This window comes from Homo sapiens, chromosome 6 (genome assembly GCF_000001405.40).
Source record: "Homo sapiens chromosome 6, GRCh38.p14 Primary Assembly".
In the NCBI taxonomy this organism is placed as follows: domain Eukaryota; kingdom Metazoa; phylum Chordata; class Mammalia; order Primates; family Hominidae; genus Homo; species Homo sapiens.
Window position 1 is genome coordinate 143533005 of NC_000006.12, and position 15715 is coordinate 143548719.

The 15715-nt window shown below is 45.8% G+C and overlaps 1 protein-coding gene across 1 annotated transcript in view, besides 4 other annotated features; it reads left to right on the forward strand.

The window, feature by feature from the left end:
• Window positions 1865-1954: a silencer, noted in NCBI's record as "silent region_17627". NCBI's record gives its function as "represses an Ori minimal core promoter by ATAC-STARR-seq in GM12878 lymphoblastoid cells {active_cell/tissue: GM12878}" and the evidence as "EXISTENCE:reporter gene assay evidence [ECO:0000049][PMID:35858748]".
• Window positions 3541-3970: a silencer, noted in NCBI's record as "silent region_17628". NCBI's record gives its function as "represses an Ori minimal core promoter by ATAC-STARR-seq in GM12878 lymphoblastoid cells {active_cell/tissue: GM12878}" and the evidence as "EXISTENCE:reporter gene assay evidence [ECO:0000049][PMID:35858748]".
• The window catches only part of PHACTR2 (phosphatase and actin regulator 2), a 294308-nt gene continuing 282466 nt past the window's right edge, over window positions 3874-15715 (forward strand). Inside the window, exon 1 of the mRNA NM_001394736.1 lies at window positions 3874-4203. Coding sequence (NP_001381665.1) covers window positions 3987-4203 — 217 coding nt within the window. The 5' untranslated portion in view covers window positions 3874-3986. The remainder of the gene's footprint in view (window positions 4204-15715) is intronic.
• Window positions 3991-4350: a silencer, noted in NCBI's record as "silent region_17629". NCBI's record gives its function as "represses an Ori minimal core promoter by ATAC-STARR-seq in GM12878 lymphoblastoid cells {active_cell/tissue: GM12878}" and the evidence as "EXISTENCE:reporter gene assay evidence [ECO:0000049][PMID:35858748]".
• Window positions 6184-6233: an enhancer, noted in NCBI's record as "active region_25202". NCBI's record gives its function as "activates an Ori minimal core promoter by ATAC-STARR-seq in GM12878 lymphoblastoid cells {active_cell/tissue: GM12878}" and the evidence as "EXISTENCE:reporter gene assay evidence [ECO:0000049][PMID:35858748]".

A 15715-nucleotide genomic window follows, 5' to 3' on the forward strand; every position in this document is an offset into this window, starting at 1 on the left:
GAGGAGGAGTTCAGCTCAGGGAGTGTTGACTGCCAAATGTCAATGAAACATCAAGAAGGGAAGCCCAGGAAGCAACTAGATGCTGGGATCTGAAGCCCAGGAGAGAGGTCTGGGGTGGAGAGAGTCATTTGTGTGTAAGTCAAAGCCGAAGCTGGGATCTCCCAGGAGAAACAAGTCAAGTGGGAAGAGAAGAGGGCTGATGCTGGACATCTGGGGAACAGTACCTATGGGCAGATGGAAAAAAGAGACCCTGACAAGAGGGTAACAAGGAAGCAGAGGGGCTGAAGGAACACCTGGGGAGATGAGTGTCCTAGAAACCAGGGAAGCAGAGCCCACAAAACGAGTCAGTGGTCGAGAGTGTTAAAAGCGACAGAAGACATCAGATTAAGTAAGACCTGAGAGGTTCCCAGTACATTTGACAATGAGCTGCTCAGATGTGATCTTTGCTAAAGCAGCTCCATGCAGTAGGGCGAGCAGTAGTCATACTACAGATGGTAGAAGAATGAATGGGGAAGGGGGACTGTAAGAACTTGGGAATAGCTTCTGGAGTATACGCTACTCTCTGTAGAAGATTGACTGTCATGGGAAAATGAATGGAGGAATATTGGGCTGAGAGGTTCCTTGACGATATGGAGAGCCTAGCACAGTGCCTGGCCCAAAAAGGCACTCAAATATGTAATTATCTAATAAAAGTTGAAATGATGAATTGCTAAATAACTGAAAAATGAGTCAGAGAAGACTTCTTGTATTTGAAAGCATTTAATTCCTCATTTAATTCCTCTCTTCACAAGAGAGGACACAGAAGATTAACCAGAAAAGGAAAAAGCATGCAGTCCAGAAGAATGTATGAACATTCATGTTGTAAGCAATGGGGAGAGAAAATTGGGGTGAGACCCAGGCATAGGCAACTGGAATGTGTGCCCCAGAGAGAAGGCAGCTTGTGAAGGGGGAGCTTCTTGCTGAGGAAGTGCACTGAGGGAATACAGACAGCATCATCAGGTAATACAATACACTAGATAGCAAACGGTGCTGAGAAATGCCATTGTAATCTAATGCTGGTTATTCAGGGTAACTGTAAAATCCATCTCAGTGCACTCTCAATCTTATCGATGACCTATTGTCTAAAGTAACGCATAGTGAATTCTCTAAAGGCAGAGATACCTTTTTTTCCTATCATAAACTACACAAGATATCAAGAAAGTAAGGTCACATTTGGAGTAGTATAAATTTAAACAGACTGTTAGTAGCAAATATTTAGAGCAAGACCAGACAACATTGGCTGACTTTGTGAAAAGGGGCCTGTATTTGGACAGATTTGATTTATTAGTTTTGCTATTTTATTTTATTTTATTTCATTTTATTTTGAGACAGGCTCTTGCACTGTTGCCCAGGCTAGTGTGCCGTGGCATGACCATAGCTCACTGTAAACTTGAACTCCTGGGTTCAGGCGATCCTCCTTCCTCAGCCTCCCGAGTAGCTAGGACTAGAGGCTTGCCTCACCAGCTGGACTAAAATTTTTTTATTTTTAATTTCTGCAGAGATGGGGACTTGCTATACTGCCCAGGCTGGATATGAACTCTTTGCCTCAAAGGATCCTTCCATCTCAGCCTCTCAAAATACTGGGACTGCAGGTGTGAGCCACCATGCCTGGCCTGTATTTGGACAGTTGTTGCAGCACCATGCTTAGCCTATATTTGGACAGTTTTTGCAGCAAAGATGGAATAATCATATCTTCCCTACAGAGTTCCTGTGAGAATTATAAGTGAAAGCCCTTTTAAATGATCAAGGGTGAGCTGTGTGTGTGTGTGTGTGTGTGTGTGTGTGTGTGTGTGTGTGTGTATCATGACCTAGTTGCTACTAAGGCCTTTGTGCGTGTCGGTGTGCTTCTGCAGCATGTACTCTTGGTTTTTGTTCCTCTTTTCTCTTACCTTCTTGATTAGGTTTGTTCTCTTATTAAATGATATAATACGTGCAAAATGCCTGACATAGCACCTAGAATCGGGGTGTGTGTGTTAACAGGAGTAATTGCCAGCGCTGTCCCTTCTTTCCCCCCATATCTCCATCTCTTCTCACTGGCTATCTATGGTCTGTGGGTGAACCAAGGGACGTTCCTCCTTTGCCATGAACTTTCAGAGGACTGATGACTCCTGAGCCTGACTTACAGTCTTTTAATTCTGGGCGAGTCACAACTTGGGGGCCTAATCGTGAGATTGATAAAGCTTAGGCTTTGAAATCACCAGCTGAATCAGCATAATCTCCACTGCTCATTCTGCAAAATCCTACAAGGTGTGGCATTAACTAAGATATTTCTAATCAATGCAGCTGCCTTTCCTTTAGAAAGCATTGACTCAGACATCAAATCTGTGATATTTATTTAGTTCTCGGAAGACTGGCTTTTTAAACATGACCTTTGAGTATTTACTTATGAAGGAGTTCAGAAAATGCTGCTCCAAAATACGCTGCTTTGGCAGGCTGGTTACTTCAAACTGAGGGTGCTTGGGGAAGGCAATTGCAAGAAGGAGCTTTCTCCGAACTTCCTTTTATCTGCCTAAAGACAGATCCTTCAGCCTGTAATCCCAGCACTTTGGGAGGCGGAGGCAGGTGGATCACCCTGAGGTCAGGAGTTCGAGACCACCCTGGCCAACATGGTGAAACCCTGTCTCTACTAAAAAACAAAAACCAACCAACCAACCCAACAAAAAACAAAAATTAGCTGGGTGTGGTGGCGGGCATCTGTAATCCCAGCTACTGGAGAGGGTGAGGCAGGAGAATCACTTGAACCCAGGAGGCAGAGGTTGCAGTGAGCCGAGATCAAGCCATTGCACTCCAGACTGGGCCACAAGAGTGAAACTCCTTCCCCTCCCCAAAAAAAGGCAGATCCTCTAATAGGAATTCATCTGTCAGGAATGGAAAAATCTGGGATCACAGCAGGCCCAGACAGATTAACACCTATGCTTCCGCTAGAAAACAACTCCTTATTACCTGATCAGCTTTTTAAAATTTGCACGAGACAACCTTTATTCTTTATACACTTCCTCCCCGACCCTCCCATAACTTGTGTCACCTGCCCGCCCCCCAAATTCCAAGATCCTGTTCTTTTCTGTAACTCAGGACGCTATACAGGCTTCAATCATCTGACCCTTTGAGCCTCATATTTTGTGAAACTCCCATGTGAACGTTGGTAATTAAAATGGGTTTTCTTTGTCCTGTTAATCTGCCTTATGGCAGTTTAATTCATAGGCCAGCCAAAGAACCTAGAAGGGTGGAGGGAAGCTATTTTTTGCTCCCTACACCCAGCAGACAGATACCCAGGGATGTGGGCAACCGTGAGAGGTAGAGATGGGCTTTGAGGGCAAGGGGTGTGGGTGCGGATGGGGAAGGGCATTAGGCTTCACTTCACAAGGGACTCCAGAATCTGCCCCTAATCCACCCGGCAAGTGCAATGCATTTTTGCGCCGGAGTTTCCTATCTGTTAACTGGGTATGATCATTCTTGCTCCATCATAGGGCAGCTCACGTATGTGTACATGGCACCCCCACCCACCACAATGGAAATGATATCGTTAGCTCTGACCTTGCATCCCAGCTCCAGAAGCCCAAACTCGGCTTTTCTGCGGCCGGATTGCTGGGTGAACAGAGCTTCGCGGAGGGGACCCCCTGCTGCCATCCTGCCGGGGGCCAGTGCCCGGGGCTTGGGGGAGGAGCAGCCGGGCAGGTTCGCGGGCACCGAGGGCGGCCCAGCTCCGAGCCCTGCAGCTTTCGCCCGCTGGAGCGAGAGCCGGCTGTAGGCGGCTCCTTCCTGTGCAAACTTTTCTGTCCTCTTCCTCCTCCCGCCCTCCGCACCGGCTCCTCGGCGCCCGGCGTCCACCTCCCCGCCCTTCTCGCTGCCTCCGGGTCGCGGCGCGCGGGGCAGAGCCGGGCAGCAGCGGGCAGCGCAGCCCTCGGCGCCGGCCCCACCCGGTGCTCCGGCCCCGCCGCCGGGAGCCGATGGCCGAGGCGGGCTGGCGCCCCGCGGCGTCCCCGGTCGATCCGGCCGGGCAGGCGGCGGCGGTCCCAGTCCCCGAGCCCGAGGCGCCCGCCCCGCCGGCGGCGCCTGCCCTGCGCTGGCTTCCCGGGGACCCGAGCCCCCGCGGCCGCTCACAGAGCGACCTCTCGTCGTCCTCGAGCAGGGGCCGCCCGCTCCGGGTCCACATCTCCGGCTCAGGTAAGAGCGGCTCGGGGCGCGGGCCGGGGAGGGCCGGCCGCGGGCAGGTGGCCGCGAGGGCGACGCGGCCAACCCGGGGCGCCCGCGGGCACTGGCCCGGCAGGCTGGCGGCGGGGTGGGGGTGGGGGACAGGGGAGGGCGGAGGCTGAACTCCCCACACTGCCGCCTCCTCGGCCGCCCGGGCTCGGCGACCCTAGGCGGAAGATGCTAAAAGCAGGCGACGGCTTGGTGCGCCTTGCGGGGCGAGTGTGCAGCCTGGGTTGGGGTAGGGAGCGCTCCCTCTCGGCTGCACGGCGCCAGGCAGCACCGCAGCTTGGCTTCCGAGGCTTTTCCATCAGAAAGAGGAACATTCTCGGTCTTCGGCGCGACTTTGGTCCCTCGGAAGGGTGCGGTTCCCTCACTTTGCGGGCTGGGACCAGGGCAGGTCTTGGGAGGCTTCCCAACTAACTGCTTATGGTTCTGAAATAAAGACGCCTTTTGCGGGTTGCTGGTAAGAGGACCCGGGATATGAGTTTTTCCTCCTTGCAAAAACCCATGAGGTTAATGGGGGAGAGCAGGGGAGAGTTTGGCGGGCTGTTTGTGCCTCTCATCCTTTAACATGTTTTGAAAAAGCCTCGGCCAGGAGCGGTGGCTCACGCCTGTAATTCCAGAGCTTTGGGAGGCCCAAGGCCGGCCGATCACTTGAGGTCAAAAGTTCGAGACCGGCCTGGCCAACATGGTCAGGAAACTTCGTCCCTACTAAAAATACAAAAAATTAGCCGCCGAGGCGGCGCATGCCTGTAGTCCTAGCTACTCAGGAGGCTGAGGCAGGAGAATCGCTTGAACCTGGGAGGCAGAGGTTGCACCACTGCACTCCAGCCTGAATGAAAAAGTGAGACTCCGTCTTACACACACACACACACACACAAACACACAAAAGCCTCAAGCTAGCCCCTCTGCGGTAGCACCGGCCCATGTGTTCTCAGAGGCTGCCCTGTGCCCCGTGCACCGGGACCGACGAAATCAGGAACTCAGCTAAGGCCGATGCTGCCGGCCGAGTTGTGTGACGTTGGGCAAATCACTTAACCTTGTCTCTCCTATCTCAGTATTCAGAGTGGGAATCATAGTATGGTACCACCACATTGGGAGGTTATGTGGATTAAGTAATCATTTTAAACTGCTTTTGAACAAAGCATTAGCCTAAGAATTGTAGGACTGTTTTTTAAAAGTCCACCAGATGCGTCAAGTTTCCACCAGTTGTCTGATGTGCAATCTTTGTAGGATGCATGGGAGCTGGGAAATTAGAAATGAAGCTAGCTAGCATCAAAAACTACCCATAGCGGCAAAAGCCCTGCCGGGGCGTGAACGTGCACTGTACCAGCTACCACTGCCCTGGTTTTCAGGCTCTGTGCTCCGGGATCAGGCCTTCTTTGGGTTCTAACTCAACCTCAGCTAAAGCTGAGCTTCCTGTTCAAAAAAGCACATTTCCATGCCTCTGACTCCACTTCAGCTGGCTAACTCTCTCACCATAGCCTTCTGTCTTCTTATTCTTGTCATATTGTTTTTGCCGCCCAACATGTGTACTTGAAAAACCTCAAAAGCATTGCCGTTGTGACTTTGTAGATCGCATTGGATGAAACAAGTCAGAACTGTTAGAATAGAGGTAGTGGGATTTGTGTAAAGATTCATCCTCTGAATTTGTATTGTGAAAAGCATTGAGTCCGAATGTTTTTAACCACCTGCTCTTGGTGTGCTGGCCAAACTGAACTCGAGCCATGGATTATTTTGATTGATTTCTACAAAGATTAACTGTTCAGAGACTCTAAAGAGACCACTGAGAATTCACCTAGTTGGTGATTGTAGACAAAGTATAGCTTGCATCGCCATTTTTCATTTTCATGGATGGAAATTATGGCCTGTATGCCGAAAAAGGACAGCAAAGACATTTAAAATGTGAGTGTGCAAAGTGTACATCATGTGAACCATGGGCTCCAATTTATAAAATTATTTTACTTCTGAGGACTCTTTGTCTTTTCTGTGTCCTCTTAACGGATGCTAGGAAGTGAAACCTTTCAGCTCAGTTGTCCCATGTGCCGCAGGATGCTGGCACAGATGTAGAAGAGTGAACATCTTTCATGTACCTGATTTCATTTTCAGAACTGAGCCTCGGATCCCTTTAAGAGCAGACTAAATGTGATCAGGAGCTCCCTGCTCTTAGAGTCAGAGAGAAAAAGAATGAGCAGGTCCTTCACTGACACACAGAGTATTTCTCCAGCATGCCCCACAGCCTCTGCAGCCTCTGTAAGCCATGCAGGATGGATCTGAGAATCAGCAAGATGACTGTGCTGGGATCTCTGAATTATCTCAGAGGCACAATAAGAGGGTTACACGCCTTGTAAAAACATTCCTTGGCCTAACACTATAGTAGCCCAATTTCCAGCCCTTCTCCAGAAGCTCTGGGCACACACAGAGGCAGCACCTAGAGCAAGGTCATGTGTGGCTTGCCAAAACAGCCCCGGACCAGCATCTGTGGCCTCATCTCAGAATCTCAGGCCCCACCCTAGGCCTGCTTAACTGAATCTGCATTTTAATAAGATCCCCAGGTTGTTCTTAGTCACCTTGCAGTTTGAAAAGTGCTGCTCTCCCACACTGGTTTTCAAACTTGGCTACACGTAGGAATTGCTTGGGGAGTTAACAACGAAGCAACCTGTGGCTGGGTCGCACACCTAGGGATTCTGATTTCATTGGCATCAGGTGCATCCTGGCCATTAGATGACGCTAATGAGTAGCGAAGTTTGAGAACTGCTGTCCTGTGCCATATTATGTCACCCTGGCTTGCTGCCGTATGTCTTGTGATACCGTGATACAAGTGTAAGTTTGAAGAATTTGTTTTAGTACCTTCTCACATCCCTATTGCTACATCCTCTCTTCTACTACTGCAGTCTCCCAAGCAGCCTTCCTTGCTCCTATTTTTGATTCCAGCTAGTTGTCAGATGTTCTTCCTAAGGGATAATTTCTAATCATGAGTTAACTCCCTGCTGTGGGTCCTTAGAAGAGTGTTGAGGGGAAAAGGAAATCACCTTTTGCAGTGACAGTGACCTGAAATGGAGAAGAGGAAGGGGAAGAAAGAGTGCTTGCCAAGAGTTGTCAGAGAACAGCCTCCCTCCAGAACGACAGACCATCCTTGCTACCTGCAATCATTACCCCAGCCTCCCCCACAGCTCCACCTCCATCCTTCTTTCCAGGAAAGAATAATAAAAACTTGGAACTCAGCCTCTAAAATCTTGCCCACTGCTGCAAACAGTCAGTCTAATACTAAATATATATTTTTAAAGACCTGTTCTGTGCTAGCACTGTGTTGATAAATACCGTGAGGGTACCCCAAGAGAATCGGCTTCCCCTGACTATGCTAGATTATTACTAGATTTTTGTCAAGACAAGCGTCTCAGACTTCAAGGGATTTTATTTAATTTGTGGCTTGAGGAATTTTTCACATAAGAATGCAAGTGCTTTATCAGAAAAAAAAAACCCAAGCCAGTTTTATATTTCAAAATCTATACAAAAAAGTTAAGAAAACAAAATATTTTCAAATAAGCAATTTTTAAAGATAGAATTGAAGTAACAGTGGAATTTATGAATAAACTCTTTTATTATGTTTATAAAAACGTGGATTCATTTTGCCATATGGTTTTTGAACTCACACTTCTGGAATTCAACAAAAGTTCTGAATTTATTTTTCTTTTTTTGAGATGGAGTCTTGCTGTGTTGTCCAAGCTGGAGTACAATGGCTGTTCGCCAGTACAACCATAGTGCACTGCAGCCTCAAACCCTGAGGCTCAAGGGATCCTGCTGCCTCAGCCTCCTGAGTAGCTGGTGTTATAGGCGCATGCCACTGCTCCCAGCCTTGGATTTTTAAAATCCAGTATTTCTTTGTAAATAAAGTGATGTTTAACTCAATTTTTAAAGTAAAATCTTGAAACAAGGTTCTCATAGTATATGGTCATGTATTCTCTTAAGTTTTAGACAGATCCTGTTCGGTATTAAGGAGCTTTGATAACTTTTTAGTGGTTTCTGATGTGCTGTTCTGATAAGCACAGTGTTTAGTAAGTAAAGAACCTGAAGACACACAGCCAGGGGCATAGACCATGTAAAGATTCAGCAAGTACCGACTGTTGGCCTACTGGGTGCCAGGTGCTGTTCTGGACCTGTGTGGGCTATAGGGAGGACCAAAAGATGTTTTTATTTTCATGTGATGATGCTTAGTCTTGCACATTGCACATTGGGCTGCATAGATCAGAGAACCATTCAAGCCACCTCCAAAAAAAGCAGTATAGGTGTGTGGACCACTTCATTAGCTTAATGTGCAAGTACAATCTCATCTTTTTATTACTGTGATTCATCTCTTCAGTATCCCTATGCCCTGGTATATATAGGCATAGGGGTAACAGCAAATCCAGGATCTTTTTCTCAAATCTTTAATTCCTGGTGTGTTCAGTGCTGAGTGGAAGTGAGAAATCTCGCATACCTCAATGTACTATCAGTTCATATGCACTGCTTCCTGGCCACTTCCATGAGATACTGCTGTCCAAGACCAGTTCTGCTGTTGGGTCACCTGTGCTGTTGGGGGAAGCTTGTGCTTGCTTATCCCTTGCTGGTGCTTCTACTATGTTTCTTACTGACCTCCAAGGTTGTAACTCTTTGAGTTGATGCTTTGTGCTCCGAAAGGGTGTCTGGGTCCCAAGAGGCTTCTGAGCCCCAGCCACGAGCTAAGCTGGAGGTGCCCTAGGCCAGGAACAATGAACACCTGCTCACTTTACATTTGTGTAACTCAGAGTGGGTTTTTTTCCAAACAAAGACCATCTGGTTCTAAGTTTACTTTCTGTCTCTCCCTGGTCAGGGAATAGCAAGGCCACCCTGCCCAGGCCAGCTCGGACAGTACAAGAGGGTGCTGGATGGAGCAGGTGCTGGTGGGCTCAGGTCCAGCCTGCGCTTTGCCCAGGTCAAGCTGTGTACCTGGTGTGGACATGTGTGCCTTCCTTCTCCCCCAGGGAGAGCACCCTTTTCTTTGCACAAAAGCCATGGGCTTCTCATCTACCCAGGAGCCTGACCGCCGGTCAGGCTTCATTCCAGAAGGGGCATCTCCTATCTGATTCTTACCAAGTTACCATAGCAGCTGATGACAGTCCTGTATCAGAGCTTGGCACATTTGAAAAATTGGCTTCACCTGTTAAGTCAGGAGGTCCTTATTAGGTCAGATTGCACCTGACCTGGGGCTGACACCAGAGAGTTGTCAGGAATTGAGGCAACCAATTCCTCTTTCTCTAGCCCTTTCCTAGGCTGGCATGGTTTCAGCAGGCTTGAGCTTCTGTTTGTCTCTCTGTTGACCAGCTTTCTTATTCTCTAATCAAAACAGATTATCTCTCCTTCATAGGTGTTTCCTCATCCATCTGCTTAAAATGGCACATCAGGGGTCCTACCTACCTGACAGCAATCTTCCTCTGTTTCCTTTTAGCTCTTGCCTTGTGTTTACCTGGGGAAAATTTCTTCATATTTCATAGTTCAAATTCTCTAGAAAAGACCTATTGTGTGAAGCCACCTTTATACAGCAAGACAGAGATCATATGCCCCATAGGTGCCTCTGGATTTGTTGCCTTTGATCAGATACTCACTGGAGCCGAAACCAGTTGTGGAGCATGAAGTCACAGTGCCAACATGGCCATGTAGAAGGGACTGAGCCTGGCCAGTTTCCATTCGTCCATTCATTCAATTAGTCTTTATTGATTACTGCTATGTGCCAGGTACTGTTCCAGGCACTGGGCATACAAAGGTGAGCAGATGTGATTCTGTGATTCTGGAGTTAGACTGAAAGCAGAGAGGATACTCAGAAAGGGTGTGGCAGGCCAGACACAGCAGTGTCTCTGGTGATCTAAGCTATAGGCCTTGCATCATGCTCAGTAAATAACATGATGATGATGATGACTGTTCTTGTTTTCAGAGGATGCATGAAGAGCTAATTTACTTAAACTAGTTAAGCTCTAGTTTGTGTCAGTACCTCAGTGGCAGCTCTGAGACAGATATTAAAGCCGTGGATTTATTCTGGCCCCTACGTACTGATGAAGATGCTGTAGGCAAGGGCATATCTTGATTTTTCATTTCTTCTTTCAATCAACAAATGGCTAGTGAGCTAACACAAAGGTTGCAAAGACATCCCTCAGGAACTCACAGTTTAGTGGGGAAAGACAGGCCAATAAGCCAAAGACCACAGTGCAATAAAGTATAAGCTATGATTAGTGCCCTGTCCTGGGCCTGGGGGAGAACCTAGGATGGTCGGCTATAGGGAATGGCTGTGGGGAGAAAATGCCTCTGGCAAGAGGTGAAACCTGGGCTATCTCTATGCAAAAGGAGGAACTGAAAGATGGAGTTGGGTTGGGGAGGAAGAGTGTTTGGGGATGGGAAACAGTACATGTAAAAGGCCTGAAACAAACTGGCATAATCAGAAAACACTCAGCAGTTGCTTTTGGCTCTGAGCAGGGTTCTTTTGGGAGAGAAGGGAGAGTAGAGAGCTGGGCAGAGACTGAGTATGGGAGGTTGCTGTGTTTGCCTTTTTCCTGGGAGACACAATTTAGGCATTTGCAAGTTTGATATGGATATATTCTGAGTATATTCTGACATGAACACTGAAAGACAGAGACAATGGTAGAAAGAGCACAGACAACTGAGATTGGGACTGTCAGGGCTCAGAAAACAATACCGCAAAGCGTGGTGCTTTGATGTGCTGAGTATTTCTAACTGAAGGACATTGGAAGGGCCTCAGAAGTAAAGCCTCTCTCTGACCTTCTCTTGCCCTTCTCTTGACCTCCTATCTTCTGTTCCCCTTTCTCCCAAAATGCAGGCCACAGAGACTAGAATTCCTCTTCCCTGAGGTGGGTTGTAGAAACTAGGAATGTTACTCTAAACTTGCCCTGCCTTTTTGTGTAGGAACTAGCCGTAAAGAAATTCTTTGACCTGCCTTGTGTGATAGTAGGTCATAAGACCTTCATTCCAGGAGGGAGGGAGGGAGGGAGTGGGAAGGAAGGAAGGCGGGCAGGCTCCCATATCAAATAAAACTTTGATTCAAGAAGTTTGTTAGGCTTTCCTCTTGTTAACCTGTCTTGTGTTACAGGAGTGTTGCCATGACCCTTACGATAGGTGAGAAAAGGTATCACACCTTTCTCCCCCATACACAGAATCTGGTTATTATCTGTGTAATCTTAGGACAGATTGACACCTGCCACCTCCCTATGCTAGGTTTAAGTCACCTCCCTATGCTAGGTTTCCTTATATCTGACCTGAAAATAATTAGTAACAGTAACACATAGCTCATAGGATTATTGTGAGGCTGAAATGTGTGAAAAGTGCTTTTGAACTTTAAAGTACTGTGTAAGTGGTGGCACCTTCGCATGCTTCCATTGTAAGGCTTACTGTGCTGCATTCAAATGATGCATGGATTTTTCTCCTTCCCTGCACCATAAAATCATTGAAGATGGAAAGCATATTTTATTTATTTTTGCATTCTCAGTACCTACTAGAGAGCCTGGTACACACTAGGTGCTCAGTAGATACTTGTAGAATTAATGCATGAATTACCTTAAAAATAGTTCTTTTGACATTAAGTATCTATAAATCAAAAACTAGCCTAAAACGATTTTTTAAAAATGTGTAAATAGAAGATTGGGTAAAAATGGGGATTTCCAAAATTTAAAAATAATGAGAGATTTTTGTTTTTTTTTTTTCTTTGAGACAGGTCTCACTCTGTCACCCAGGCTGGAATGCAGTGGTGCCATCTCAGCTCACTACAACCTCTGCCTCCCATGTTCAAGCGATTCTCCCACCCCAGCCTCCTGAATAGCTGGGACTACAGGCATGTGCCATCATGCCTGGCTAATTGTTGTATTTTTGGGTAGAGATGGGGTTTCACTATGTTGGCCAGGATGGTCTCGAACTCCTGACCTCAAGTGAGCCACCCACCTAGGCCTCCCAAAGTGCTGGGATTACAAGCATAAGCCACTGCTCCTGGCCTGTTTTTGTTTTTTATACAGCTACCCATGAGATCATTAGAACTTCCTTGGGGTTAGTGTGTAAACCTCACTTGGCAACACCTATGGAAGTGAAGAGTGAAAAGGAAGTCATAAGTGTCAGTTCAGCCTGAGGCTAGTGGTGATGGAACCCCAGCCACGGGGACTCTGCAGCCTCCTGGGAATGTTGGTGCTGGGTATTGGATGCAAGAGTGTAGGCAAACGAAGGCAGAAGGAAGTGCACTCATGCTAGCCCAATCCTGCATTATTTCCCCACATGATCACACTCTATAGCAACCCTGTGAGAGAACAGTGTATCAGCTCCTTTTTTCAGGTAAGGAACCTGGTTTCAGAAGAGTGGAGTAATCCACCCAAGTCCCTCAGGCAGCAGGGAAGGAATAGAACCAAGACTCAAATCTTCATGACTTCAAAATGCATACTCTTTTCTTACCCTACCCCACCCTAGTACATATCTATCACCCCTCATAGAAACAACTCATGTTTATCTCCACCAACAGAGGGAAAATCGCATTATGTTTTACTCTGAATTATGAAAGAGATCATCAGAATAAATATCACTTTCTATCAAAAAGTATTTTTAAGGCCCCAGTCAATGGTCGTCTACTTTAAGGTGCATTCAACACCACATTTCTAGCATAAAGAACAAATTTGACTTACTCGTGATGGAGTGTTCTGCCGTGTTTTCAGGCTAGCACATTTCGGTGATCATTACTTAGGTGGATTCTTTTAATCTAAAACAACTCAGTTTTAGAATCATGTGTTTAATTCATGCCCAAGAACCATATCTTGTCTCAAGGTACAAGTGTAGTTTCGGTTACAGTGAAACTCAGGAAAAAACATTGAAGCAGCTTTAGTGTTTTTAAAATACCATGCTGAGTGACTCATTATCTTTGATCACACTTGCTGAAATTTGCACAGAGAAGTAGGTTGCAGCAGCGTGCCTTAGAAAGATTTCTGAGCTCTAACTTATTTTGTGACCTGTTGGCTAAAATTTGACATTTATATGCCTTACTTTGCAGTTTCTTGATACCTCTGTGAAGTCTTGAGAAAGAGTAGCTATTGCTTATCCCTCGTAACAGGAAGAAACTTGTGACTTAAAAAAAAAAAAAAACATGTTATCTCTCTCTAGAACTTTGGACTGTGGCTAGGGCAAGAATGTCAGAGGTACAATGCTTTGATTTTGGGTCCATAACTCACATACTGTAAGCATGTGACATAATAATTAATGGTCATTAGTCAGGTCATCAATGTTGATTTATGATCTTTTTTGTTTTATGTATATTTTCACCTACCTGAATGTTTGGCATATCTTCTTTGGAGGTATAATTTCTATTAAATAATCTTCAAGTAGCCTAAATATCAAGAACAAACATATTAAACCCCTTTTCTCCAAACTACTGGTCATTATAAATCTTTGATTTTTACTCCAGATGTTTGGAGAACAAGACAGAAAGGTGTGATAATGATAAAGAATGTGATTTAGCCTGGGCGCAGTGGCTTACACATGTAATCCCAACATTTTGGGAGGTGGAGGCAGAAGGATTGCTTGAGTCCAGGAGCTTGAGACAAGCCTGGGCAACATAGTGAGACCCCATCTCAAAAAAAAAAAAAATAAAAAATAAAAAATTAGCCAGGTGAACTGGTGCGCACCTGTAGTCCTTGCTACTCAGGAGGCTGAAGTGGAAAGATTGCTTGAATCCAGCAGTTCGATGCTGCAGTGAGCTGTGATTGTGGCACTGCACTCCAGCCTGGGTAACAAAGTGTGACCCCATCTAAAAAAAAAAAAGAATATGGCTTATGGTTAGTAAGTGTTATAGAATTTATGTCTTCAAATGAGTGTTATCTTTTAGAGTTGTCATATTGGAAGAGTATGTACTCATTCCCATTATAATCTTATTAGGCAAAACAGTGTTCAACAAAAGTTTTGTGACTAAAATATGTGACCCATATTTTTATCCTCTTGCCCTAACTATACCTCAATTGTAGCTCTTTCTAAAAATCATGTCTACATTTGAGTGACATAGATGTACTGTCACTGAGGAAGATTTGAAAAAGCATTCCATAAATGGCAGTAACAGTGGCCACATAGTAGGAATACATTTATTGTCTCCCAGCATGATTATTTTGGTGGGAATAACAATCATTTGGACAGCTAAGTCATTCACATTACTTTATAGTAACACTGCGTACCTCCAAAATATATAACCACACAAGGTCATATGTGCTAACCAAGCAGATCAGTTGGAACTGTTAACACAGTGACTGTGAGATCTAGAAAGTAAAGGAGCTTTGAAACAGCCACTGTGACATTTGTAGAAGGGACCCAATCAGATATGAATGAGAGGATTACTAAGTAATAGCAAGGGTTTGAACAAAATGAACAAATTTCTATAGTTAGCAATAGAGACTCCCTTCTTCGAATGAAGGAAAAGGGGTTTGTTTGTCTATTTGTTAACAAGAGCAGCCATTAACCGGGAAGGAGAGTGTGGCTTCATGATACCTTGCGGCCAGGAACTGATACATTGATACATTGGTTGTGATCAAGGAGGGCACTCTCTTTTTGTTTCCAGGGATTGATCTAACTCTCTCTTGCCCGCTGTATCTATGTATGTATGTATGTACGTATGTATCTATCTATCTATCTATCATCTATCTATCCATCTATCCATTCATCATCCATCATCTATTAATCTATCTATCTTCATCATCATCATCATGTGTATCATCTATCTATCTTATTTTGGCCTACTATAACAAACTGTCATAGACTGGTTGGCTTATAAATAAGAGAAGTTTATTTCTCTTATTATGTCTCACAGTTCTGGAGGCTGGAAGTTCAAGATCAAGACACTGGCAGATTCAGTGTTTGGCGAGGGCCTGCTTCCTGGTTCATAGATGGCCATCTTCTTGCTGTGTCCTCACATGGCAGAGGGAGGAAGAAAGCTCTCTGTGAGCTCCTATAATGACACTAATTTCATTCATGAAGGTTCCACCCTCAATACCTCATCTAATCCTTATTACCTCCCAAAGACTCCACCTCATAATACCATCATGTTAGGGGATAGGGTTCTAATGTTTGGATTTTGAAGGGATATAAGCATTCAGTCCGTAACACTACCTAACTAATCTGTCTTTCCATCCATTCAACCGTCCATCCTTCTGTCTTTCCCTCCCTCCCAGACTTCTCTGATGCTGTGAGCATATATTCTCCTCAGATTTCCCCTATTTACATGTCTTCTGTTAAAGCTAGCAGAGAGGGCTTCCCTTGGAATCCAATTCCACACACCAGCCTGGGCCAGGTAGCCATTCCTGACACCAGCTATATCCGTTTTGTTGGACAGAGACCACTGGGGTGTATTCTTGCAGGTGTGGAGAGCACAGTTCCTCGATGAGAGGTGGGGGACTGGGAAAACACAACAAAAGCATTCATTACCTCCTTGTACCTGGGGCCCGGGGAG